We start from the raw sequence: 25557 nt of genomic DNA, 5'->3' as shown, positions 1-25557 counted from the left end.
GGCCTGTCTTTTGCCAGCATCCTTCATCACAATATGCAGCTTGATTTATGAATAATTGTAGGATATTAGTTCTGGAAGACACCACAGACTGGAAATTGGAGAATTTAATCAGTGGCAGAGCCAGAGTCAGATTTTCTGACTCCTATTGCAAAGCCTTTTACACTAAATATATGTGGACTCTCATCAGCAACCTGAAATGTTGGCTGCAGATTTAAAAAATCTGACAGCTCAATAATATAAAATATTTCTCCAAGCGGCTCACTACAGGTGACCTCCAGACACTCTTGACTTCATCATCTTACCTTCCCCTTGAGGCTGAATCTCTATGTCAGAGATCATGAAGACTGGGGTTAGAAATTGCTTGTCCCTGGTAAGTAAGAAATGGACTCAAGTGGCCCAATTCACAAGCCAGAACTCTGTCCAACCTTGCATAACATACTCAACTGGAAACTACAGTTTTTGCTTCTCATTAACACCCAGGATGGCTGGTAGTGTTAACAGGCCATGATTCACCAGGTGCCTGGCCTGACCTGCCCTGAGAGCCTGCCCGCTGACCTACAGAGAAGGCCACAGCTATGTACCAGCAGCTCTGGGGGTTCTTTCTTAGCTCTAGCTTCTAGCACTCATCTAGCATTTCTGATTTCTAACTTCCTGCCTGCAATATTTATGGATCGTGTTTCTGCGTTGTCCTTGGCAATGGCTGTTTCATGTGGACTGCCTGCTTGGTGTTCAGTCTGGCCTTGCTCATCCTCAGCTCCATGATCCATGGGCCAGCACCAAATCACTCTTGGTCCTACTTGGCCTGTGTCTGACAACGCAGGCTCTTGTTTTTCTAGGAGGGGAGTTCAGATATTCAATCCCTTCATTGCCAGTAGTGTGAATTTATCATTAACTTCTTGTCTGTGGCTGTGGCTGTGGCTGTGGCTGTGGCTGTGGCTGTGGCTGGAACATGGTCCTTGCCGGGGAGTCCACCATCAATCCTGGCTGGTTTCACAGAGCTGAGTGTTCTAAGTTCAAGAGAACACGATGGATGTGCTTCCCACCCTCCTCTGTTGGATAGTGGCCACTGCTGGCTGGAGATGAGGAGGGGAGAGACTCTGCCTGTGGCTTATAGGAACTTTCTAGTTATAGGGCAGACAGCCACTTCTAGCATCACAGAACACCATGGATCCCCCTGGCAAGAGATGGCCAACAATACCAGCCAGAGGCTCGTTGGGGAGGATGGATGCACTGCCAAGTCATGAAACCTTGAAATAAAAATACAATGCAAACTGGCATTACAGGGAATGCTCTGGAAAGGTCTCCTGAGAGAGCCCCAATGCCCTGAATGTCCCAGTCTTCCTAAAGCTCATATTATGAGAATAAAACCCCTCTTGACCATTCATTCCTGCCCCCTCCAGACATGATTCCCTTCTTTTCCTCCTCTCACAGGGGGATTCTCTTTTTGCCTATAAGTGTCCACAACCTTCTGACACCCACAATATGGGCCCATTGGCATATTGGGTGGCCAGCCTTTGCTGGGTAAAGTTCCCGTTTTCAGTGCCTAGTCCTGGGAGGTTCTCCTACCTCACTGCTCCTCCCTGCATTGTACCCCAGCTCTCGGTCTCAGTAAGAGGTGATTACCATTGCACTGAAGTGCTAGAATTGGAGATGTTGGGTTGCTTCATGGACTAAGGTGTGGTCAGTCAGCCTCCACTTCTACTTCTTGGGAGACATGGACCCCATTTCCTCCTGCTTGAGGAAACCAGTGGTCTGTAGGAAAACCATGTCATTGTGTCTTATCTCGAGCTGCCCCTGCTGCAGTCTGAATTATCCTACCATACAGCTATCTTTCAGAGAGGCAGTCCCTCAGCCTCTGTCAGAAGCAATGGCTCTGTCTCCACCAGCTTCCACCTTCACTGTAGCCATCATGCCAGGGGTTCCAGTCCAGCTTGTCCATTGTAGGAAGGCATTTGCAGTTGTAGAAAAAGAAAAATGGACTCATTGATTGGAGTGTTATTGTGAAATCATGCTGGAGTGGTGGGCTGTTTATTGAAAGGTGGATATAATTTTCTGAGCCTGATATTGGTGCCCTCCACAAATATGCGGATGCCACGTCGTGGAAGGGTTCATCAGGCTCTCCATCTCTCAGGGCCAGCATGTGACCCTGTGAAGTTGCTTATCCTTGACTGTCTTAAGTATCTAATGTTTGGCATGAGGCCTAGTTGGCATGGCTGCAATCTACTCAAGAACCCTATCCTAACATTTCATGAACTCAGTTCCTGCAGTCTCTATCAGCTGCGGCAGGGGATGGTGATATGGTTTGGCTCTGTGTCCCCACCCAAATCTCATTTCAGATTGTAATCCTCATAAGGGATTGTCGAGGGAGGACCAAGTGGGAGGTGATTGGGTCATGAGAGTGGTTTCCCCCATGCTGTTCTCATGATACTGCATGAATTCTCACGAGATCTGATGGTTTTATAAGTGTTTGACAGTTCCTCTTTCACACATGGTCTCTCTCTCCTGCCACTGTGTGAGGAAGGAGCCTGCATCCCTTTCTGCCATGATTGTAAGTTTCCTGAGGCCTCTCCAAGTCACGTGGAACTGTGAGTTAATTAAAACTCCACTGTTTATAAATTACCCAGTCTTGGGTAGTATCTTTATAGCAGTGTAAAAATGGACTAATACAGATGGCAAACTTTTTCTATACAGAGCCAGATAGAAAATATAGGTGTTATGGGGCACACTTCCTCTCTGGCAGCTACTCAATTCTGACATTGTAGTACAAAAGCAGCCATGGAGAATATGTAAATGAATGGCCATGGCTGTATTTTCATAAAACTTATTTACAAATTCAGGTGGTGAGCCATAATTTGCAGATACCTGAGATATCGTAATACCCCTTCTAAGATGCTCCTGAGACATGTACTAGCCAAACTCGAATGAAGTTTTGGGACCATATTTTGTACAGTTCAGCAGCCCGTATAATGGCATAGTGGCAGACAGAATCTCAGCTCTTCAGAACAGCAGCCCTGTCTAGGTCAATCAAAAATCCGGGATTCATCTCTTTATTCTTGTGCCTTAACAATTGTGGTTCCTTCTACCTCTTTTTTTCTTAGTCTCTATTTAAATACTACTTCCTCTAAGAGGCACTTTCTGATTTGGACTCTAGACTAGATTATTATTATTTTTTTTGCTCTGTCACCTGCAAGTTTCATAAGAACAGGACCATGATCATTGCCTAGCACAATGCCAGGCTCATGGTAGGTGTCCATTTATGTTCTGATTTTTTACAATTGTTCAGTTGAACTTGTTTCCCATGCATGTTTCTCCCCGAAGGTGGCTCTGATGAATGTGATCAGTTTTCCCTGGTAACGGCTCCTACCTTTTCACAGCCACCTGAGGTCCAACAGCTTTGCCATGTAGTGTACTTGCATCTAAGCCAGGGCTCTCAGCAGACCCAGAATCTCAGTCCAGTCAGACCCACCCTCTTTTCTAAATGTGTAGAGTTTTCACTTCTTATTTGTTAAGCAGTTAAAACCACAGAGCCAACACTCTCTCAGAAAGCCAAGTATGGAGACCAAGTTCTCCAGCTTGTGGGTTCCATGGTCATCTGGCTCTGTTGACAACAGACAGAGGTCCAGTGTGGATGTTGGAGATATAATCTGGGCTTCCAAGAGCAGTAGAGTCTGCAGAGGTGATTCAGAGAAGGGCAGGGTGCCAGGGTAGCTGGCTGCATGGGAACAGAAAGCTGGGGAGGCAGCCCAACTTCAGGTCATTCCCACCTCCCTGCGGTCAGCCTGGGCTACTACTTTTCTGGGAGAATTTGGAAAGGACACACCCATATCTATGAGTTGACTCTTGAGCTGTGCCAAGGAGAAGCTGTATAAGTTTGGTTGTCCTTTGTGGTCTGGCAGCTTCAGAAGCATGACAGTCCATTTTGTTCCTTATCCCACTGGGTGTTCACTTGATGAATGATGAATGGAATGCTAGCCTTGACATGAAATACTGCAGTAACCACATTGGCCAGTGCACCACATCATATGATTTTAGCTTTTAGCTCTCTGTGAAATATCTGGCATTCATTTGGATAAAAATGTCAGCCCAGACACATATCTTGTATTATCTATTGCCAAGGCCTGGAAAATGGAGTAGAGTTTTGCAAGACCTGGCAATTGAATAAATATAGCTAATAAGAGAAACAAGAGCAGGAGTGGCTGGGTTGCCTTTTGAGTCAAGATTTTAGCAAGGAGATACTCTGCTTGTATAAGCAAAGCAGGAATAGGAAACACTGACCAATTTCGGAAACAACGTTCTTCCCCTCCCCCCTCTTTCCCCCTTCCCTCTCCTTCTTTTCTTTCTTTCCTTCTTTCATTTCTTAGAGACTGGGTCTGGTTCTGTCACCCAGGCTAGAGTGTAGTGGTGTGATCATAGCTCACTGTAGCCTTGAACTCCTGGGCTCAGGCCATCCTCCTACCTCAGCCTCCCAAGTAGCATGTGCTACCACACCTGGTTAATGTTTTTGTCTTTTTATTTTTGTGGAGATGGGGTCTCATTTTGTTGCCCAGGTTTATCTTGAACTCTAGCTTCAAGTAATCTCCCCCGCCTTGGCTTCCCAAAGTGTTGAGTTTACAGGCATGAACCACTGCACCTGACCTAGAAAGCTCTTACAAAGAAATGCTGACCGGGCGCGGTGGCTCATGCCTATAATCCCAGCACTTCAGGTGGCTGAGGTGGGTGGATCATGAGGTCAAGAGATTGAGACCATCCTGGCCAACATGGTGAAACCCTGTCTCTACTAAAAATACAACAATTAGCTGGGTGTGGTGGCACACCTGTAGTCCCAGCTACTCGGGAGGCTGAGGCAGGAGAATCACTTGAACCCAGAGGCAGAGGTTGTAGTGAGCCAAGATCGCACCACTGCACTCCAGCCTGGAGACAGAGCGAGATTCCATCTCAAAAAAGAAAGAAAGAAAGAAAGAAATGCTGGCCTCTAAATAACCAAGTTAGAGTTGGTTGCCATGATTGTCTTTTAATGACATCTACGTACTATCCTTTTCTGACATCAAAACCGACCCTGGCCGGGCGCAGTGGCTCACGCCTAAAATCCCAGCACTTTGGGAGGCCGAGGCGTGTGGATCACGAGGTCAGGAGATTGAGACCTTCCTGGCTAACATGGTGAAACCCCATCTCTGCTTAAAAAAAAAAAAAAAAAAAAATTAGCCAGGTGTGGTGGCGGGTGCCTGTAGTCCCAGCTACTCGGGAGGTTGAGGCCAGGGAATGGCATGAACCTGGGAGGCAGAGCTTGCAGTGAGCGGAGAGCTCACCACTGCACTCCAGCCTGGGTGACAGAGCAAGACTCCGTCTCAAAAAACAAAACAAAGCAAAACAAAAAAACTGACCCAATGGTCCCATAGACAGTTCTTTTTGATAAACATAGAAATTGACCTTTCTAGTCTTAAAGCTTGAAACTAATATTCGTTTTATCTGAGTTCCTTTCTTATGAAAGGACTTTCATACCTCTCAAAAAAAGTATCAAAGGACTGAAATTCACGAAGTCACCAGATCCAGACAATGAGATGCCTGACCCCTCATTCGTCATGATTTCTTCTTTGCCCCTCCCTAGTTCCTGTTTTCTTACACATTGTTACATTTTTCTCCCTGCTATATAAACCCACGTTTCAGTTGATAAGGGAAATGGATTTTTTTTTTTTTTTTTGAGATGGAGTCTTGTTCTGTCACCCAGGCTGGAGTGCAGTGGTGCAATCTCAGCTCACTGCAACTTCCGCCTCCCAGGTTCAAGCTATTCTCCTGCCTCAGCCTTCCAAGTAGCTGGGACTACAGGTGTGTGCTACCATGCCCAGCTAATTTTTGTATTTTTAGTAGAGATGGGGTTTACCATGTTGGCCAGGCTGGTCTCAAGCTCCTGACCTCAGGCAATCTGCCTGCCTCAGCCTCTTAAAGTGTTGAGATTACAGGCATGAGCCACCATGCCTGGCCAGGGAAATGGATTTGAGACTGAGCCCCCATCTTCTAGGATGTAGCACCCAATTAAAGCCTTCTTCCTTGGCATGTCATCATCTCAGTGATTGGTTTTCTGTGCAGCCAGCAGCAGGACCTAGACTGAACCCTTGGTGTTTCGGTAACAACATCAGTGTGATTGATGTCCTCATGAAACCAATGGAATCAGAATTTCCTAGAAATCTTTACAAAGCTTTTGCTTCTCTCATGTTGTATTCTTCAGTCCATGGTGGTTTACATTTGCCTCTTTTATCATCTCTTTTAGTCTGAAAATTTTCTGTTTCTCGTATTAGTGCTTTCAAATAGATTGCCTATTGGATTATTTTCTCATTTATATAGCAGACTCGGATTGGATGGGGGGATATGATTAAAAGACAATTACATATATTTAATACTTTTAGAGGATTTATACAGGAACAAAAATCAGAGGAAGACCTACAAGATTTTCTAATTTAAAAATTTTTAATTATTCTAATAAGCATTTCATGCTCTTAGCTCTTTACTATGAAGAAATGGACTGGGAGCCAACAGATCTGAGTTCCTGTCCCTGCATTGACAAATAATTCATTTTCAGAGCCTGTTTCACAAGCCATGAAATAAGGGAACCATTTTATGTAGAAAGTAGCTTCAAAACAGCTGGGATGAATAAAGTACTTTATTACCTGGAGACTTCAAACACAGTTTTTTTGCTGTGGCCCATAATTTGATAGTGTCTAATTGCATCTAAAATCCAAGTTTTCGGCCAGGCGTGGTGGCTCACACCTGTAATCCCAGCAATTTGGGAGGCCAAGGTGGGCGGATCATGAGGTCAGGAGTTTGAGACCAGTCTGACCAACATGGTGAAACTCCATCTCTACTAAAAATACAAAAATTAGCTGGGCGTGGTAGTGTGTGCCTGTAATCCCAGCTACTCAGGAGGCTGAGGCAGGAAAATCGCTTGAAACTGGGAGGCAGAGGTGGCAGTGAGCTGAGATCGCACCATTGCACTCCTGCCTGGGTGACAGAGTGGGACTCCGTCTCAAAAAAAAAAAAAAAAGTTTTCTGCGATGGCATCTAAGCATCTTTCTGTTCCAGTCCTGAACTGCCTTCCACATCACTTCCCACCCATCTTCTTGGGCCCTGATCCTTTATCACATGCTGTACTCTCAGGACTCCTGACCTTTGCTTCTGCTGTTCCCCCTGCCTAGCATACCACACCCATTTCTTTAGAAATCAAAGGCCCATCTATCTCCTTCAAAACTCAGATCTAGTGTTTCCTCTTGCATGCAGCTTTTTCTAACCTCAGCAGAATGAATTTCCCCCTTCCCTTTGTGCTTTCTCATAATGGAACATTTATCATATGGGATAATTACTTGTTACATGTTTTGTTTTCTATTTAATACCTCCTAAGTTTTGACTGAAGCTTGTCCACATGCTTGGTCACAGAACTGTCCTGGGAAATTCCCTGATGAATTATTTCAAAAGCAACCAAAGTGTCCTAACTTGATGGTAGCAGGGGAAAAACAAGGATCATCTCAGTGTGGCTGAATGAAAAGCAGTATCTATCTGGATCTTCATAAATGATGGAATTGATTTGCCACACCATTTGGTAAAGGCCTGAAGCCGTGGTTAACAGGGTTATTTTGATGAAAACTTGAAACAAAAAACACTCAAAGGACAACAGCCCCGGTGGCCCTTGAGGCAAATGATTGATTCCTGGGGCTATGTTGGAAAGTTTGGCAGAGAAGAGACTGAAATATGCTGTGGGGTGAGGAGGTTGTAGGAGGGGGCCCCACTGGGAGATTCTTGGGCTTTGGAAACATGGGGGAGAGAAAATGGTCCAGAAATGTTGTCTTGGGAAATTAGGGACAGCAGAGCTAGGGATAACAGCATGTCTAGAATACGCTGATAAATTTCCACTAGATGACGCTGTTTCCTCATTTGGCGAATGAGATTTATTACCCTACCCCTACCGGCCAACCTAAGCCCCGGACCACGGACCACGGACCACAGAGGCGTGAGAGCCTGGAGGCCTGGGCTCTAGTTCCAAATCTGCCCCTCCCTGGAATGAGGCCTGGAAGGAACAGACCTCCAAGATTCCCTGAGATTCCTCATTTGTAAAACAAAGAAATCCTCAACCAGGTGCTTTCTAAAACTTCTCCAATTACTTTTTAAAATACGTTTTATTTTTCCATTTTAATGAAAACTGTGGGGATATGTATTGCCTTTTATGTAAATATATACTTGTCATACAGAAATATCAATTTTTATTTAACCAAATCTCATTTAGATAATTAGACTCTGTAAAGCATACGGGGCAAGAATCAAATGAATAACAGTATACTTGTACACATTGGTATGCCTCCTGGGCCTAAACATTTCCCATTTATGTATGCAGTGAATTGTAGAGCTGGAAAGAATCTTAGAGGTTATACAAATAGTTCAGTCTTTTACGTATCTAATATCTAAACATAAGCTTCTCCAGGGGAAAAATTCTATTATTTTTTTTTCCATGATGAATTTTTTTTAGGGTCTGTAGTTGTAGAACTATGTCCTTGTGCTTGAGGCCAGCTCTATACTGAGTTCTCTCATGCAGGTTATCATTTGACGCACGACTTCCGAAGCTCGCTTAAGTCATAACTGAATCATTGAATGACATCAAACACCTAGCTGTTGTGTTTGAGCTCCTTTTTTTTTTTTTTTTTTTTGCCTACTCTTGTGATATGGGTCTGTCCAGCAGTGCTTCTCTCTGTTTGCTTCAGATGTTTTCAGTTATATGGAAATTAAACTCCAAGGGAAGAATATGGGGTGGATCAAATTCTGTAACTGTGTCAATCCCTGCCCCCTCCCCAGAGGACACATCCAGATCCATGTCTCTGCCTCGTGTTTACCATCAGTGGAGCCCAGATTGTTTCAACACATAGAAAGACCCACTGCTTTTCCTGGCAAGTCCTGAAGGTCATTTGTTTGCTGCTTTTTACGGTAATTGCAACAACCATTTATCCCCTTGTAAACAAATAGTGTGCTTCTAACCTATGTACCACAGTTAAAACGTTATCCCAGTAGGACAAGAGAGTTGCTGACAAAGAGAACTGGCAACATAGGGGGGAGAAAGAAGCAAGGCGTAGTCTGTCTCTTACAAATGTGGGTCATATATATTTCTGTCTGAAGGAGATGATGGACTTCAATTTTGTTCTTCCAATTCCTTTCTATACCCCAGTGAGAACAGTTTTTAGTACATATTTAAGTTCTTTTGCTTTAAGAAGAAAGATAAGAATGATAATAATCTCTGAATGTACCAATCCGCTGTTAAACCCCCTCCACCACCCACCAAATAACTCCTCTCACTAGATCAGTTCAGCCCCAGGGTTCATAGTTAACAAGGCTTCATTAGGGCTGAAAAAAAAATTGCCTTTGCTTCCAAACACGGGTTGAGCTCTGATACGGCCTCAGCAGGGAACAGATTTCCCCCTTTTATCTCTTTGCTTCACTGGTGTGTAATCTTGTCTTTTGGAACGGTGGTAATCAGAACAAATTACCTAGAGTGGGGAATAAAAAGACTTCACAGTCATTGTGGGTAATTTTTTGTTTTCTTTAACAATTGGTACCTTCCTTTAGTAATTGAAAATGATCCAAGAAATCTCTATGTACTTCGTAAGACTTTCCTAAGCGTGCCAGCTAAAGCTTTTAAGGTGGTAGAGATGGTTTCAGCGAGGGCTTGGAAGCTCCAAAAAACCAGAAACTTGCCTTGTTGCCTGGGTCCCTCAACAGGGATGGCCAGAGTTTCTTGAGACAATTGCTGCTGTGGTCTGGAAAGAAGCAGAGCCATGAAAGAGGAGAAGGCTTTGTGGCATGTCTAGGCCCAAATTCCAGATGCAGAGTTTAGTGTGAACAGCGTGTCCCTCCCAATCTTGAGAAGAAGATAAAGAATGGTGCTCCTCTAGGATCTGCCCTCGGTTTTTGTTGGGGGCTCCAGTCCCACTAGACCTGGGTTATTGTCAGAAAGGCAGCCTCACAGTACCTCTGCCACTCAGTGGGGGTCTCTGCGCCTGCTGCTTCATTCATCATCCCCTGCCTCTCCCACGTGCACTGGAAAATGTTATTTGCTTCTTGAGGTTCAGAGAGATGAAGAACATGCCTGAGTTCACTAGCATGAAGCAAGTGTTAGAACCTCTGAGAGACTGAAGGGTTGGGGGTGAGGGTTTATGACATCCATGGGGATGCTTAGAGGAACATCTGCCATGTCAGGTGTCATTTCTGAAGCTTCATACTAGATGAATTTGAGATGTGTGGAAATAGGAACAGCCTATTTGTGAGGTTACCTTCCTGGGCAAAGCAATGTTATCCAAGATTCACTCAGAAAGCCGCAAGAAGCATGCTGGAGCTAGGTGTCAAGAGGAGGTTTATGGCATGTCATTAATGGAAAGTCAGGTGGAAAAGAGCTAACACTTCTCAAGGTATCATCCTTCTGTGTCAAAGTCTCTGCCTCTACAGGACTGTAAGTATGTGGGTTGATAACAGCTTCTAGTGCCTTGAACATGTTACCAGTGGTTGAATGAACAAATGAGCAGAAGTTGGAGATACCCTCATTAGGACGTAGGATGTTCTGAGCCTTAGGTTATCTAAGACTAAGGAGTTTATGAGATGGACTATATCTGCAAAGTCCTGGAGGACTTTAAGAGGTGATAAAGGCTCAGTTGTGTGTAGTAGTAGGGATTTACATAAGAAAAATTTTGGATGGCAACTTAAACTAGGTCAGCATTTTTTAAGGGGGGGTAAGGACATGTGTATGTTAAGAAAAGTGGATGTAGTCTCAAATCTGGGTATGTCTAAGTGGGAATTAGTGCAAGTCGTCTCTGCAGGCATACTTAACCAAAATGAGAAATTAGGGAGCTAGGAGAGTTTAGGGTCTGAGGTGTAATCTTCAGCTGAGACACTGGGTGCCTGCCAGCAAGCTCAGTCATTAAGGGACTGAATTCAGGGTAGAAAGTCCAGCCATGGGTGCTGTGGACTCCAAGTTCAGAGCAGAGTAACCACTTTTATTGTGGTTACTAGACCAAGTTCAACATAAGTTCCAATGTCTCCTCTTTTCCCTTGGAACAATGCAGAAAGTCTATTTCCTTCTTGAGTTACTCTAAGGCTTGGTGTTTCTTATATTCATTTCTAGCTTCCTTTAGTCAAGCCAAATTGTTAATATGCTTGACCAAAAATGATGGAAAAATCAAGATAATAGTCAGAGTTGAGTAATTTCTAACATGAGTCAAAATATAAAAATTATTAGACTGCCCATGAACATAAAAACAGTAACATTACCAACATCAGTTCAAACACAGCATCACAAAATAGAAGTATATTTGTAAATTTTAGCAGCTGCGACTGAACTACATTTTCCATGTATTGATAAAGCAGCCTGGGCAAAAAAAGAAATTATGAGTCACAGGGATGTCTGTATCAGACTCAGAGTAGTACGTCAATTTCTAAAATTGATCTTGAATATATTTATGTCAGAGTCATCCCAAGATGCTTCTGATACGAGTCTTGTGCTAGAGAGTAACATGACTTTGGAGATGTCCTAACCAGGGTTATGAGAAACCCTCTTCTATTTGCCATGGTGATGGTTCAAAGCACAGTTCATCTGGTTCACAAAAAGCAGTTGATCCCTGGTTGGGTCAGAGAAGGGCTGGTGGAGGAGATGAAGAAAAATGAGGGGGGAGATTGTCTTGGGCAACTCTGCTGAGCAACTCCTTGAATTTGACCTGTGGTTCCACCCTTCTTAAATTTCTTCTGAGAAAAGAATACTGGCAGAATGTTGACAATTACTGAAGCCTGGTGGCAGGTGAAGGAGGTTCATTAGGCTATCTTTACTTTTGTTTAACAATTTCTATTATGAAAGTTAAAACATTTCTTCAAAGTAGTTGGTAGGATTTTTTTTTTTTTTTTTTTTTTTTTTTTTTTTTGAGATGGAGTCTCACTCTGTCGCCCAGGCTGGAGTACAGTGGTGCGATCTCGGCTCACTGCAACCTCTGCCTCCCGAGTTCAAGCAAATCTCTGCCTCAGCCTCCTGAGTAGCTGGGATTACAGGCGTGTGCCGCCATGCCTGGCTAATTTTTTGCATTTTTAGTAGAGACGGGGTTTCACCATCTTGGCCAGGCTGGTCTTGAACTCCTGACCTCGTGATCCACCCGCTTCAGCCTCCCAAAGTGCTGGGATTACAGATGTGAGCCACTGCACCTGGCCAGAATTATTTTTAAATGGGAAAACAATTTATGGGATTTCTGTATTCTTATTGCATTTCTTGATTAAAAAACAACTAAAAATTGAAATATAAATATATTGTTATATATGACTATTATTTTGCCTATTTTGCACACTTATATATGCCTATTATTTACACTTCTGGTATATAGGAGAGAGAAAGTGAGCAAATGGGTATTTTCCCTAATGAGACGATATATTTTTTCTTACCATGCTAGTGTTTATAGTCTGGAAAATTCTGTTAAGATATGGAAAGTGACAAGTAGAGCCCACTTTCCACTTTATGGGACAGGCTTAGGGAATGACTGTTCATTGAATCCACTCCCAAAACATAGACTTGCCTTTGATTATATTGGCCATCTTTTATGTTGAGGAACTCTAATGGGCATTTTTTTTTTTTTTTCTGGGGACGGAGTCTCGCTCTGTCGCCCAGGCTGGAGTGCTGCAATGATGTGATCTCAGCTTACTGCAACCCCTACATCCTGGGCTCAAGCGATTCTCCTGCCTCAGCCTCCCAAGTAGCTAGGATTACAGGCGCCTGCCACTATGCCCAGCTAATCTTTGTCTTTTTAGTAGAGACGAGGTTTCACCATATTGGCCAGGCTGGTCTCGACATCCTGACCTCAGGTGATCTGCCTGCCTCGGCCTCCCAAAGTACTGGGATTTCAGGCATGAGCCACCGCACCCAGCCAAATGAGCATTGATTCGGGCCCTGAGGTGTGCTCTGAAATATGTGGAGCAACTAGGTTTCCTGATAACTCACATTCACGTGGGGATGGCACTTGGTTTAGCCACATAGACGTCATCTTCATTTTAATAATTAGGCCTAGCTTGTAAGTTACAAATCACAGTGTGACATGTCTGGTTATATTTTTTAAAGACTTGTGTGAAAACTCATTAAACCTGGTGTGTGTGTGTGAGTGTGATGTGTGATGGATTTGATTGCATTCTATTTTGGTACAGGAACTATAAGTACTTGGGGAACCAAATTTGTTATATTTTATGAATATTAAGTAAAACATTAGACCCGTCTATTTATTAATTTAATACGTTCAGTGAGGAAATATTTATGAAGTGCTTTCATGAGTCAGGCACTGCGTTGGGTGCTGGGAATTCAGTAAAGACCAAAAGCCCTGTGGTCATTGTCCTCACGGGGCTCCCAGACTAGCATGGGAGCAAGCATGAATCTAAACAACCACACATGTGATCCATGTAATTATGCGTGCTACTAAGCGGTGTGACAAAGGTTAGGGTCCTTCACGCGTGTGTAATAAGGCGTCTGCACCCAGCGTGGGGCTCAGTGAAAGCATCCCTGAGGAGGTGGTATCTGATTTGCTATCTGAAGAGGAAGAAGAGCACCAGACTGAGGGAAATGCACTTGAGAAGACTCTGATTGCAGGGAGGACACTCGACAAGACCTGGTTTCAGGGAAAACACTGCACTTTGGAAGTCCTAGGAGGCTAGGGTAGCTGGAGAGGAAGGCGCGGAGGGAGACTGGTGCGCAGTGAAGCCAGAGAGGCAAATGCAAGCCGAATCCTGCAGGGCAACGTATCCCATGGAAAGAATTTGGTCTTCATCGGAAGAGCAATTGGAAAGTCTATTAAGGGTTCAACGCAGAGGGATAACATGATCTAATTTATACTTTTCAGGAAATCACTTTCACTGCAGTCTGGAAAATGGATTAAAGGAGGGCAGTAGAGGCTACAGCCCCTGGGGAGGGGGTGGTGATGAGTCAGCTGTGAGCCAGCCTCTTGGCCATGCACTGGGAATGTGCCAGGAGGTGAGCGGAATGTTCTCTTGTCCTCTTCAAAATCGTGAGCTGTGGAGAGCAGGACTAGTAAACAGATGATGATACAGTGTGATGAGCTTCATATTAAAAGTGAGTAAGACACATTATGTGAGCACAGTAGAGAAGGCAATTAATTTTGATTTGGAGGATCAGGGGAGGCTGCCTGAGGAGGTATCATCTGACCTAGGCCTTGAGGAATGAGTAAGAACCAAAAAAGAGATTCAAAATTATCCCAATGAAAGGAATAGCAAGAGTAAATTTCAAAGTAAGTTTGAAATGCCTTGAGCTTCAGGGAATGGTCAGTCATCTGATGTGGCTGCCTCACTGCCAGTCCACCCACCCTCCAGCCCAGATCACATGCTTCCAGATTATGGCCTCTAGTACCTTGACTTGAATAATTATTTTATCATATCAGGGCCAGGAATTCCTCAAACCCTCCAGCCTCTCACTGTGTCTCACTTCCTTTGTAACCTTAGTTGCCCAAATTAAATCCCATGAGTCATCATTAACATCATTTTCTGGTAAAGACCCTCAATGTCCTCACCCGTCTCTAACTTTATCTTAAAGACTCAATAACCCTCAACTCTGATTTGCTGCAGCCTGTCTACTCTGCCTTATGCTTGAGCAGCTGCCTTTGGTTGGACAAGGGGACATATCCATGTGCTCTGGTCTTATTTGGGACCACTAGATGCAAGGGAGCTCTCAGGGCAGCCAGGCCATCCTACAACACTTTCCTAGTCCATTCATTTCCCCATGCTCCTAAACCATTCTACACTTTCTACTCTCTCCTCAAAACACCAAGATCGGCACCCTCACTCTCAGATGACAGCTTAGCCTCTGAGGTCAATGAGAAAATAGAAGCAGCCGCAAGAGACTCCACACTGTCTCACACTGCATCTTTCCACAAGCCTGCATCTGAGCCCATAGACTCTACGTTCCCTCCCACTGCTACGCATGAGCTCTCCCTGCTCCTATCAAAAACCATCTTCTTTACCTGTGCATATTGTCTTTCCCCTCTTCAAGGACATGGCTCCAGTAGTCTTTTTCTGGTCCTTTCCTCCATCATTAATTTCCCCCTCTATGAAATTATTTCCATCAACCTGAAATATATTGCAATATCTCCTATCTTAAAAAAAAAATCAACTCTCTCTTGACCCCACATACCTAGAGACATCCTTGTTACCTTACTCCCAGTTATAGCAAAACTTCACTAAAGATGTGTCGTTGTCAGTTTTAGTTGAGCTTATTTCCATTCTTTCTTAAACCTATTCTAATCAGTTACTTCCCCAATCACTTCCCTGAAATTTTTCTTTTCACTAACCAAGACCTGTATGTTGTTAAATCCCACAGGAAATCCAATCTTCATTTTACTTACCTATTAACAATATTCGATATAATTGATCATTCTCCTTCCTTGAAACACTTTCTTTATTTCCGTCGGAGACCAAAATTCTCCGAATGTTTCTTCTTTTTCATGGGCTCCTCTTCCTCAGTCTCCTTTGCTCTATCCTCTTCTCACCAGCCTCCAAATGATAACAGAGGGTCTCAGGGCTTAGTCCCTGGACCTGTCCTTTCTGTATGTGTATTTATTTCTTAGATGATCTTACCTAGTCTCATAGATTTAAATATCATAATACACTGATTACTTCCTTTTCCCTGCTTTCTTTTCTAGCCTGGATCTCTTCACTGAACTCTAGGCTCAAAAATCTGTCTACCTGATGTTTCCATTTGGATCTCTGAAAGGTACCTCAAACTTAGAACTGCTTATCATTTACCTTCAAGCCTGTTCTTCACATTTTCCCACCCTCACATCTAATCCATCACCAAACCCTGTCATCTTCATACTCAATAAATGCCCCAAATCTGACCATTTTTGTCATCTCTATTGCCAACACCCTAGTCCAAGCCACTAGTTCCGCTTCCTGGATTATTATATCAGCTTCTTAACTACTTCCACTCTTGCATCTCCACCCCTGCACAGCATAGTCTCAACTCAATATCAACAGTAATCTTTTTTTTTTTTTTTTTTTTTTTTGAGACAGAGTCTCACTCTGTCTCCGGGCTGGAGTGCAGTGGAGCGATCTCAGCTCACTGCAACCTCCACTTCCTGGGTTCAAGTGATTCTTCTGCCACAGCCCTCCCAGGTAGCTGGGACTACAGGCACATGCCACCACGCCCGGCTAATTTTTTTTTTGCATTTTTAGTAGAGACAGGGTTTCACCATGTTGGCCAGGATGGTCTCGATCTGTTGACCTCGTGATCTGCCCCCATCGGCCTCCCAAAATGCTGGGATTACAGGCGTGAGCCACCGCGCCCAGCCTATCAACAGTAATCTTCTTATAAGGTAAATAGGAATATGTTGTCATTCTTCTGCTCAAAATCCCCCACCAACATTCCATCTCATTCAGAATAACATCCAGAGATCTTACGATGGCCTAGAAGGCACTGGGAGATGAGACACCTGTTTGCTCTCTGACCTCATCTCCTATAAGCCATCTCATTGTTCACTGCACTCCAGGCGTCCTGGCCTCTTTGATGTTCCTTAGACATAGCAGGCATGTTTCCTTCTCAGGACCCACAGGTTCACTGTTCCTTCTTTCTGCAAAGTTTTACCCAACAGTTTTCACTTGGCCTGCTTCCTCACTTCCTTCCAGTCTCTGCTCATGTCATTGGATCAGTGAGGTCTTCTTTGACCACTTTGTTTAGATTAGCAGCTCTCCCCACCCATCAGATTTGTCATTACTCATCTATGTGTTATTTTTCTCCATAGTGCCTATGGCTATGTGACATACTATATTAGTTAGGTTAGTGGTAGAACCTGTAAACATCAGCTCCAACATTTCTGCAGTTGAATACATTGTATGTATTTTAAATGCTAATGTTCCTAATTGGGGTTGGTTTTCCTTCCCCTGGGATTCAGACACTCAGATCCTTCCATCTTGAGGCTCTGCCTTCAGGGCTTCAGAGTCCTCTGTGTCTAGCAGAAACCAAGGAAAGAATAGTAAGTGGAGGAGGCACATCAAGCTCTTAAAAAAGCCTGTCCTGTAAGTGACACATATCACTTCTACTCACATTGCATTGGTAAGAATTTGTCATATGGACACAACTGGTTGCAGTGGAAGCTGGAAAATGCAGTCCCTGTCTGGGCTACTGCCTGCCAGGGACAACTCCACTCTGGAAATTTGGTGCACAGAAGGTCATCCCTGCCATACACACTATGCCTTTACTTGTCTAGTAACAGTGTTCCTTCATTAGAATGTAAGTTCTATGGAGAAGTGATCTGTTTCCATCCCTCTTATAACTCTAGGACATAGGACAGCTTCTAGTGCATAGTAGGTATCCAGTGATTATTTGCTTCAATTTTTATTTTTTTTAAAAGGTCCTAGTCTGGAAGGGGGGAAGAGTTATAGTAGTGTGGGAGCTGAGGCTAAAAAGATAGAGTCAGGTAGTGAAAGGTGTACGTACTTGCAGCCATCATGAATACGGGCTATCCTAATGCATAAATGTGCCCAGATCACAGGCAAATTGGACTAGAACCAAAACATTTGGCCACATTTTTTTTTCCATAAAACCATTTGGACAATAGTTACACAACAGGAATTTCTCTATTGCCATCCTGTGGCTTTGTAGATAAGCAGCAGTGGATCAACCAGGACCAAAAAATGTAATTCTGTTTGATTTAACTGCACTTGTATACACATGGCCTATGTTCCTCCATGGGAAAGTTTTACTATGTTCAGTGAACTGTGTGTTAAATCTGTGGCATAATTCCAAATTATTTCTCTGGCTTTTTCCTCTTCATGTTCTCCTAATTTAGGGTTGAGCTGTTATTAAACAAGTAAGTGTCAAGCATGAAATACTATCAATGCACTTTGGGTTCCAGTTGTATGTCTTAGTCCATTTAGTGTTGCTATAACAGAGTACTCAAACCCGGGTATTTTGTAAAGAAAAGAGGGCTGGGTGCAGTGGCTCAAGCCTGTAATCCCAGCACTTTGGGAGGCCAAAGCAGGTGGATCACGAGGTCAGGAGATCGAGACCATCCTGGCTAACACGGTGAAACCCCGTCTCTACTAAAAATACAAAAAATTAGCCGGGCATGGTGTTGGGTACCTGTAGTCCCAGCTACTCGGGAGGCTGAGGCAGAAGAATGGCGTGAACCCAGGAGGCGGAGCTTGCAGTGAGCCAAGATCACGCCACTGCACTCCAGCCTGGGCAACAGAGCAAGACTCCGTCTCAACAACAACAACAACAAAAAAAGGATTATTTGGTTCGTGTTTCTGCAGGCTAGGAAATTCAAGAAGCCTGGTGCTGGCATCTGCTGGGCTTCTGGTGAAGGCTTTTGTGCTTCATCATAACATGGTGGGAGGTCAAAGGAGAAGCAGATACCAGTGGAAAGGCAGAACCAGAGGGGCATCCTGGCTTTATAACAACCCTCTCTTGCAGGAACATCCCCATGAGAACTAATCCAGTCTTGTGAGACTGAGAACTCACTGGCTACCAAAAGAACAGCACCAAGCCATTCGTGAGGGATCTGCCCCCTTGATCCAAACACTTCCTACTAGGCCCCACCTCCCAACTTGCCACATTGGGGATCCAATTTCAACATGAGTTTGGGTAGAGACAAACTTAACCATAGTGTAGTGTAATGGAGATAACTTCAGACTTCAAGCCAAGCTCTCAGGCTCCAATACAACCTTCTCCAGTACAACCATTTGAGACCAAACACTGAATTGCATGGACTGTGTTTTTGATTTAGAAATACATGTTAGGTTCTTTTAAAATATAGCTTGGCTATTATATATCAAACTGAGAGAAGATACACATGTATATGTTGACATAATCTTTGTGTACTTGAAGATTTGTTGTTGTTGTTGTTGTTTTTGTTTTTGAGACAGGGACCCACTGTGTTGCCCAGACTGGAATGTCGTGGTGTGAACATAGCTCACTGCAGTCTCGACTTCCCAGGCTTAAGCAATCCTCCTGATTCAGCCTCCTGAGTAGCTGGGACCACAGGCAAACGCCAACACAACTGGCTAATTTTTAGATTTTTCTGTAGAGATGGGGTCTTGTCATGTTGCCTAGGCTGGGCTCAAGCAATCCTCTCGCGTTGACCACCCAAAGTGTGGGATTACAGGCGCCAACCACCATGCCTGGCCTGCAGGTATTTTTTGTTGGTCACATAGCTTATCATTCCATCATAAAAATCACCCATGAGATGTGTCCCCAAAACAGGTTATATAATGTCAATGATCAAAATATGCATAAAATGTTGGCTTTACAAAGCCTTTTATTAAACATTGGAAAGTATGCTTATTATTTGGAGAGAAATCAGTCCAAAGAACTTGTCAAGCAAAACAGTGGGCATGTGTTTGCAAGGAGGCCATACAGAGCTATCTGAGAGACAGACTTGGCAAATGCCTCACAAATCCCTCATGCTCTTACCCAGAAGTATTTTTGTTTGAAAGACCAAGACATGTTAGGGTCAATTTGCTAATTAAATAATTTGCATCTCTAGGCAACGTTCTTTTGGAAACATCTCTGTGACTTTGGGATCCATCATACGATGTTTACCATATAGTTGAGACGCAGCTACTTCTATACCTCAGATTAGGAGATGGGAACAAATAGGAAGCACCCTCATCTCAGATGCCTGGGAATTCCAGGACATAACATTGGAGTAGGTGGAATAAAGTTTTGATTCTGGTTTTTTATATTATACAACTCCCTTGATTACAATTGGAGACATACAAATGATGTATTTATACTAAACAGTAGGTAGAAAAAAGCTAAGGGTAGGATGTGTGAGGATTCTTTTCCATGTTTCTCTTTCTTTTGCTAGTATTTCTTTCTCCAGAACACCAAAAAAAAATTTGCATTGAGCAAGCTGTTTCTCTGAGTTAATTTACTGTAGAGCTGCTTGCAACTCCTAAGACCTATGACTATCACAATTGCCTTTCAGAAACCTGTTGATAAATGAACTTATTTGTTGATTTTTTTTCCTCTAACATAAATGGTAACTAGTAATCTGATCATCTATGGGGAGGTGTTTCCTATCTGTATCAATTTTCTGGGGTTGGTGTAACAAAGTACCATGAGCTGGGTTGTTTAAAGAATGGAAATATATTATCTCTCATTTCTGGAGGTTAGAAGTCTGAGCTCATGGTGTCGGCAGGTTTGGTTCCTTCTGAGGGCTGTGAGGAAGGATCTTTTCCATGTCTCTCCCCTAGTTTCTGGTGGTTTGCTAGTAATCTTGGCATTAATTGACTTGTAGACAGAGATCCACCCCATCTCTGTCTTCATCTTCACATGGTGTTCTCCCTGTGTGTATCTGTGTCTGAATCGCCTCTTTTTATAAGAACACCAGTCATATTTAGTTAGGGGCCCACCCTATTCCAGTATGATCTCATGGTAACTAAGTACATCTGCAACAACCCTACTTCCAAATAAGGTCACATTTTGAGATACTGGAGGCAAGGATGTCAACACATGAATTTTGTGGGGATACAATTCAGTCCCTAACAGTGTCCATCCAGTTCTCCCAGAGAAAGAAGAGGAGGGAGGGAAATCTAACAAGTGACGGAGGGAAATTTTAACAAGTGACATTTACATTCTCAGTGCTGTATATCTAAACCCAGTTTGTTTTTCCCTAGGTAGTTCATTTTCACTTAAGAAGGTGAAAGAGGACATTTCAAGTTTCCTTTCCCCATTGAACTTGGTTTCTACTTTCATCTAAGGAGGATAAAAAATATCTACCCCACATTCTGCCCAGCAGCAGGTGTATATCAAGTGGAAATGAAATAAAGGATGTCACAATACACTGAAAAAATATACTGCATTGGTAGTGTCGATTTTTCATCACTATTTTCAGAAGTGTCAATGGTTACCTAAGTGGTTGATTATGAAAATTGCCTTGGGAGCTCTGTATTTATAAAGACTCCTGGGCCCAACCCCAGAGATTCTGATTGAGCAGGTTTGAAATAGAGCCTAGGAAATCTCTTTTTAAGTGTTTTCCGATCATTCTGGTGATTAGCCAGGTTTGGAATTACTGGTCTTGGACAATTTCTTAAGAGTGAGCACTGTCAGTAATGTCTACTTAATTAGATTACTCACACGACACGAAAAAATATTGATGAGTGGTTTCAATAATGGCATCATCAATTGGTTTTAGAAAGGCAATATCCATTTTAGTGGGAAAGTTTCAGTTTGGGTGTTTCTGGATTTGAATCCTGATGTGATATATGGTGTATAATGCTTATATATTCATATAATAAATGTCAATTGGGGCAAGTAACTTCTCTGTTACTCACTTTCATTATCTGTAAAGTGAAGACAATAATGCCTACCTCGCAGGGCTGTTGAGAGAATTAAATTGGATAGTTTATGAAAAGTCACTGGAACTAAACAAGTCTTCATTAAAAGATCATTTTTTCCCTGACTCATCTAACACTTTGATTTATTTTGAGTCACGTAGTGGGAAACAGTTAAAATTGACTAATAGAACTACCCACAATGTACTAATCCAAAAGGATAAAATCTTGGATTGAAAAGTTTAAATGAGGAATTTTGAATGCTGGATATTTTCAGAGTACACCCGGTCCTAATAGTGCTATATTAATTTTATGGAAAAGTGAAAATGTTGGCAGGAAATCCTGAATTCTAAAGAGGTGAGTGAGCTAAGAAAAATCCAGTGTGATGAATGACCCATTAACTTATAAGAGGCTTGGGTACATGCTGCAGGGCAGGTCAGAACTGAAAGCACTGGACCATCATGTGGTTAAGCATTAAACTTTGAGCAGGGTCCAGCGGCGGTCCCCATAGCATACCCGTGGAATGGTTTAAGTAAGCATCTAGCTTTTTTTTTTTTTTTTTTTTGAGACAGAGTCTCGCTTTGTTGCCCAGGCTGGAGTGCAGTGACATGATCTCGGCTCACTGCAACCTCTGCTTCCCAGGTTCAAGTGATTCTCCTGCCTCAGCCTCCTGAGTAGCTGGGACTACAGGCGTGTTCCACCATGCCCAGCTAATTTTTTTTTTTTTTTTGTATTTTTAGTAGAGACGGGGTTTCACTGTGTTAGGCAGGATGGTCTCGATCTCCTGACCTGGTGATCCGCCCACCTCGGCCTCCCAAAGTGCTGGGATTACAGGCATGAGCCACTGTGCCCAGCCAGCATCTAGCTTTTAACAAGTCACTATTAATGAATGGCTGGGCTTTGGTCTTTTCCTCCTTAGAATGTTCATGTTACTTACCCTCCAACAATGCCACTGGTGTACCAAGACTTTTCAAAGTTGGAAAGAAAATAGTGGAAAACAAGAGAAATGCAAAGTTTATTTTGCAATTGGTTGGGTCTTGACAGAGCCATCAACTTTTTAATTCCTGAATCTATTATTCTCTTTCCAAATCAGTTCAGGCACACTTTAGGATGCCCAATCTGAAATTCTAAGAGAATCTGTTTTATTTCAGTTTCCTTCTATGCACATTAAAGGCAGATGTTAGCACCTGTTTTGATTCCAAAACTTCTCTTCAGAAGATTTTCCTGCCTCTCGAGGTATTTCACATTCTTGCATAAGCAAACAGCAAGCCTATCACTATATGGACTATTTTATTATTGATCATGAATTAATTATAACTTGGCAGGACAACCTCAAATACTGTAGAAACTTCCATTTTTTTTTGAATGGTTCTAGTGTGTATTTCAGAAGTTATTGCTCCATCTTATGTGTTATCATTAATAAGAGACGTGGCCGGGTGCAGTGGCCCACACCTGTAATCCCAACCCTTTGGGAGGCTGAGGCGGGCGGATCATGAGGTTAGGAGATTGAGACCATCCTGGCTAACACGGTAAAACCCTGTCTCTATTAAAAATATGAAAAATTAGCCAGGCGTGGTGGCAGGCACCTGTAGTCCCAGCTACTCAGGAGCCTGAGGCAGGAGAATGGTGTGAACCTGGGAAGCAGAGCTTGCAGTGAGCCAAGATCACGCCATTGCACTCCAGCCTGGGTGACAGAGTGAGACTCTGTCTCAAAAAAAAAAAAAAAAAAAAAAAAGGTGGTATGGCAGCACTATGTTGATGAATATTAAATGTGTAGTCAGGTTTTTCTCCATCTATAGACAGTCTGTGATGGCCTTTCATTCCCACTGGCAGAAAACAACTAAGGGATAAGTTTTATAAAGGAAATGCATAAGTAAATAAGTAAAACCAAAGAGAAGGGAACCTGTTGTTTTCAGGTAGACGATCTTTGTAAGAAGACTCTGAAGTGAAACAATATTTTCCTCTCTAAACCCATGGGGCCAAGATAAGTAGCACATCTTGATGTGTTTCTAGCCAACACTTAATCTAAGAGTTATTATGGTAGAGTCTAGCGGGTTATCAGGATTTAGAATCTGGAGAAGGTGTGGATTAGTTACTGACATCATCGAAGATTGGAATTGTCAAGCCAGAAGGTAACACTCTATATGACACAAATGTTGAGATCGTCGTATGGTATCTGTGCATTTCAACCAGAATGTTTGGAGTATTACCAACAAAGGAGAGAAGGTTGATCACTGAAGAGCTTGATCCACTGGGGTCAAGGGTGGGGCTCCTTGATTGACCAGGTGGCCTGACCTCTGTCTTTAGATGAGATGCAGCCAAAGTCAATGCTTCTCAGAGAAGAAAAAAAGAAGAGAGCATGAGGGAGCCTGAGCCCATCATAGAGAAACAAAATTAGTGTGAGCTGAACTGTTGACCTGGCTAGAGGCCAGAATAGCAGAAGCAGAGAGCTTTTAAGGTCAGGCTCAGACATGGAAAATGGGGAAACTGAGACCCTTGCACTTACCCACAGATTGATAGCATAGGTTGGAGAAGAAAGAAAATAATGTCTAGAAACAGGTCCCAGAATGTTGCTTTTAGATACTCACTTGCTTAGTTAGCAACATCAGGGCTCAATTTTCTTGATTTCAGAAAAAATGGAATTACTGATTAAACAAGACCATGGTTGTCCTACTACTTGGAGTGAGCAAATACTGGGAATGCTGCAAATGCAACTCTTCTGCAAGGTATATTGGTACCTTGGGTGCCTTTTGCTCAGATGTCTGCTGTAAAATGCCTGTGAATGTCTGTGAAATTGCACTGTGGCTGGTGAGAGAGAGAGACTTTCTCTAACTTCTTGGCTTTATGTGTGGACATAATAACTCTTAGATTAAGTGTTGTCTGGAAAATCATCTCTTATTATTCCCAAGCAAAATATGTTTTCTGCTGCAACAGTTAATTGCTTCACTGTTGAACTAATTCATTCAACCAATAACTGGGTACTCACTGTCTAGCACGCACAGTACTTTTCATGTACGTGCAGATGGCATTTACACTGATCGTTGTCCTGTTAGTGGACATTTGGTACCATTTAGACAGGGATAGAATGTAAATGTGGGAGTACATTACAGATGAAGCTGCTGCTTCTTAGGATGAAGGATTCCTAGAGATATAATAACATCAATTATTTCTATGAAAAACCACAGCATAAAAGGCTGACTTCCATCAATGTGATTTGAAGAAAGAGATTTATTTATAGGTTACCAGGGCTCATGCCCTGGCTGGACGATTCATCTTTTCACAAAGAAATTCCCAGGAGAATCTGCCTGATTTCTAATCTCTTCGTGTTCACAATGGGAGGATCCATTTGACTTTATATTTACTTTGTAAATGTCTTTCAGCCATGCATAGCTTTTCTAGAGCATAAACCTCAAAATACTTCTCATGCCTCCAATGCAACATTAAACTAAAAGAAAACTTGAGAGCTGTATCAAAGACAAATCAAGAATTATTTAAGTTCTGGTTTTTTTTGGCAGGGGGAGGGGGAAGTAGCAACTTATTTTTATTTTTGAGATGGAGTCTCGCTCTGTCGCCCAGGCTGGAGTGCAGTGGCATGATCTCAGCTCGCTGCACCCTCCACCTCCTGGGTTCAAGCGACTCTCCTGCCCCAGCCTCCCAAGTAGCTGGGATTACAGGTGCACGCTACCATGTCCAGCTAATTTTTGTATTTTTAGTTGAGATGGGGTTTCATCATGTTGGCCAGGCTGGCCTCAAACTCCTGGCCTCAAGTGATCCACTTGCCTCGCCCTCCCAAAGTGTTGGGATTACAGGCGTGAGCCACTGTGCCCAGCCCATGTGAAGTCTTTTAATCCTTGTAACAACCCTCTGAGACTGGTACTATTGCTTTCCTATTTTACAGATGAGGAAGTAGAGGTGCAGAGACCAGGGAAAAAGGTCAAGATCTCAATGCTAACAGTAAGTGCAAATTTGGGGTATGAACTTGTACAACATGGATTCAGAATGGGTGCTTCTGTCTACCACTCTAGGCAAGGAGAAGCAACGAGAGCAAAGTAGGTGGTTATTATGTGCGAATTCTGCTCCTAACTTTGCATCTTAACTTATTTCCAGTCACTATATCTGCCTTGTTGAAAATGAGAGCAAGTTAAAATATGAGAACTAAAATGATACCCAGTGTTCTGTTTTTCGGTCAAGGGCTCTGGTGTGTGAGCGTGTAAAGGGCTGGAGGAG

At 43.0% G+C, this 25557-nt stretch overlaps 1 long non-coding RNA gene across 2 annotated transcripts in view; it reads left to right on the top strand.

Moving 5' to 3' along the window:
• LOC101928277 (uncharacterized) overlaps window positions 1-25557 on the top strand; it is a 205476-nt gene that overhangs the window by 48343 nt on the left and 131576 nt on the right. For both annotated transcript variants that reach the window (XR_001744364.2, XR_001744363.2), the window contains one exon: window positions 25229-25284. This is a non-coding gene — a long non-coding RNA (uncharacterized LOC101928277). The remainder of the gene's footprint in view (window positions 1-25228; window positions 25285-25557) is intronic.

Source organism: Homo sapiens, chromosome 6, assembly GCF_000001405.40.
Source record: "Homo sapiens chromosome 6, GRCh38.p14 Primary Assembly".
NCBI classification, from domain to species: Eukaryota; Metazoa; Chordata; class Mammalia; order Primates; family Hominidae; genus Homo; species Homo sapiens.
Note: the sequence above shows the minus strand (reverse complement) of the source record. Positions and strands in the feature narration are given on the sequence as shown.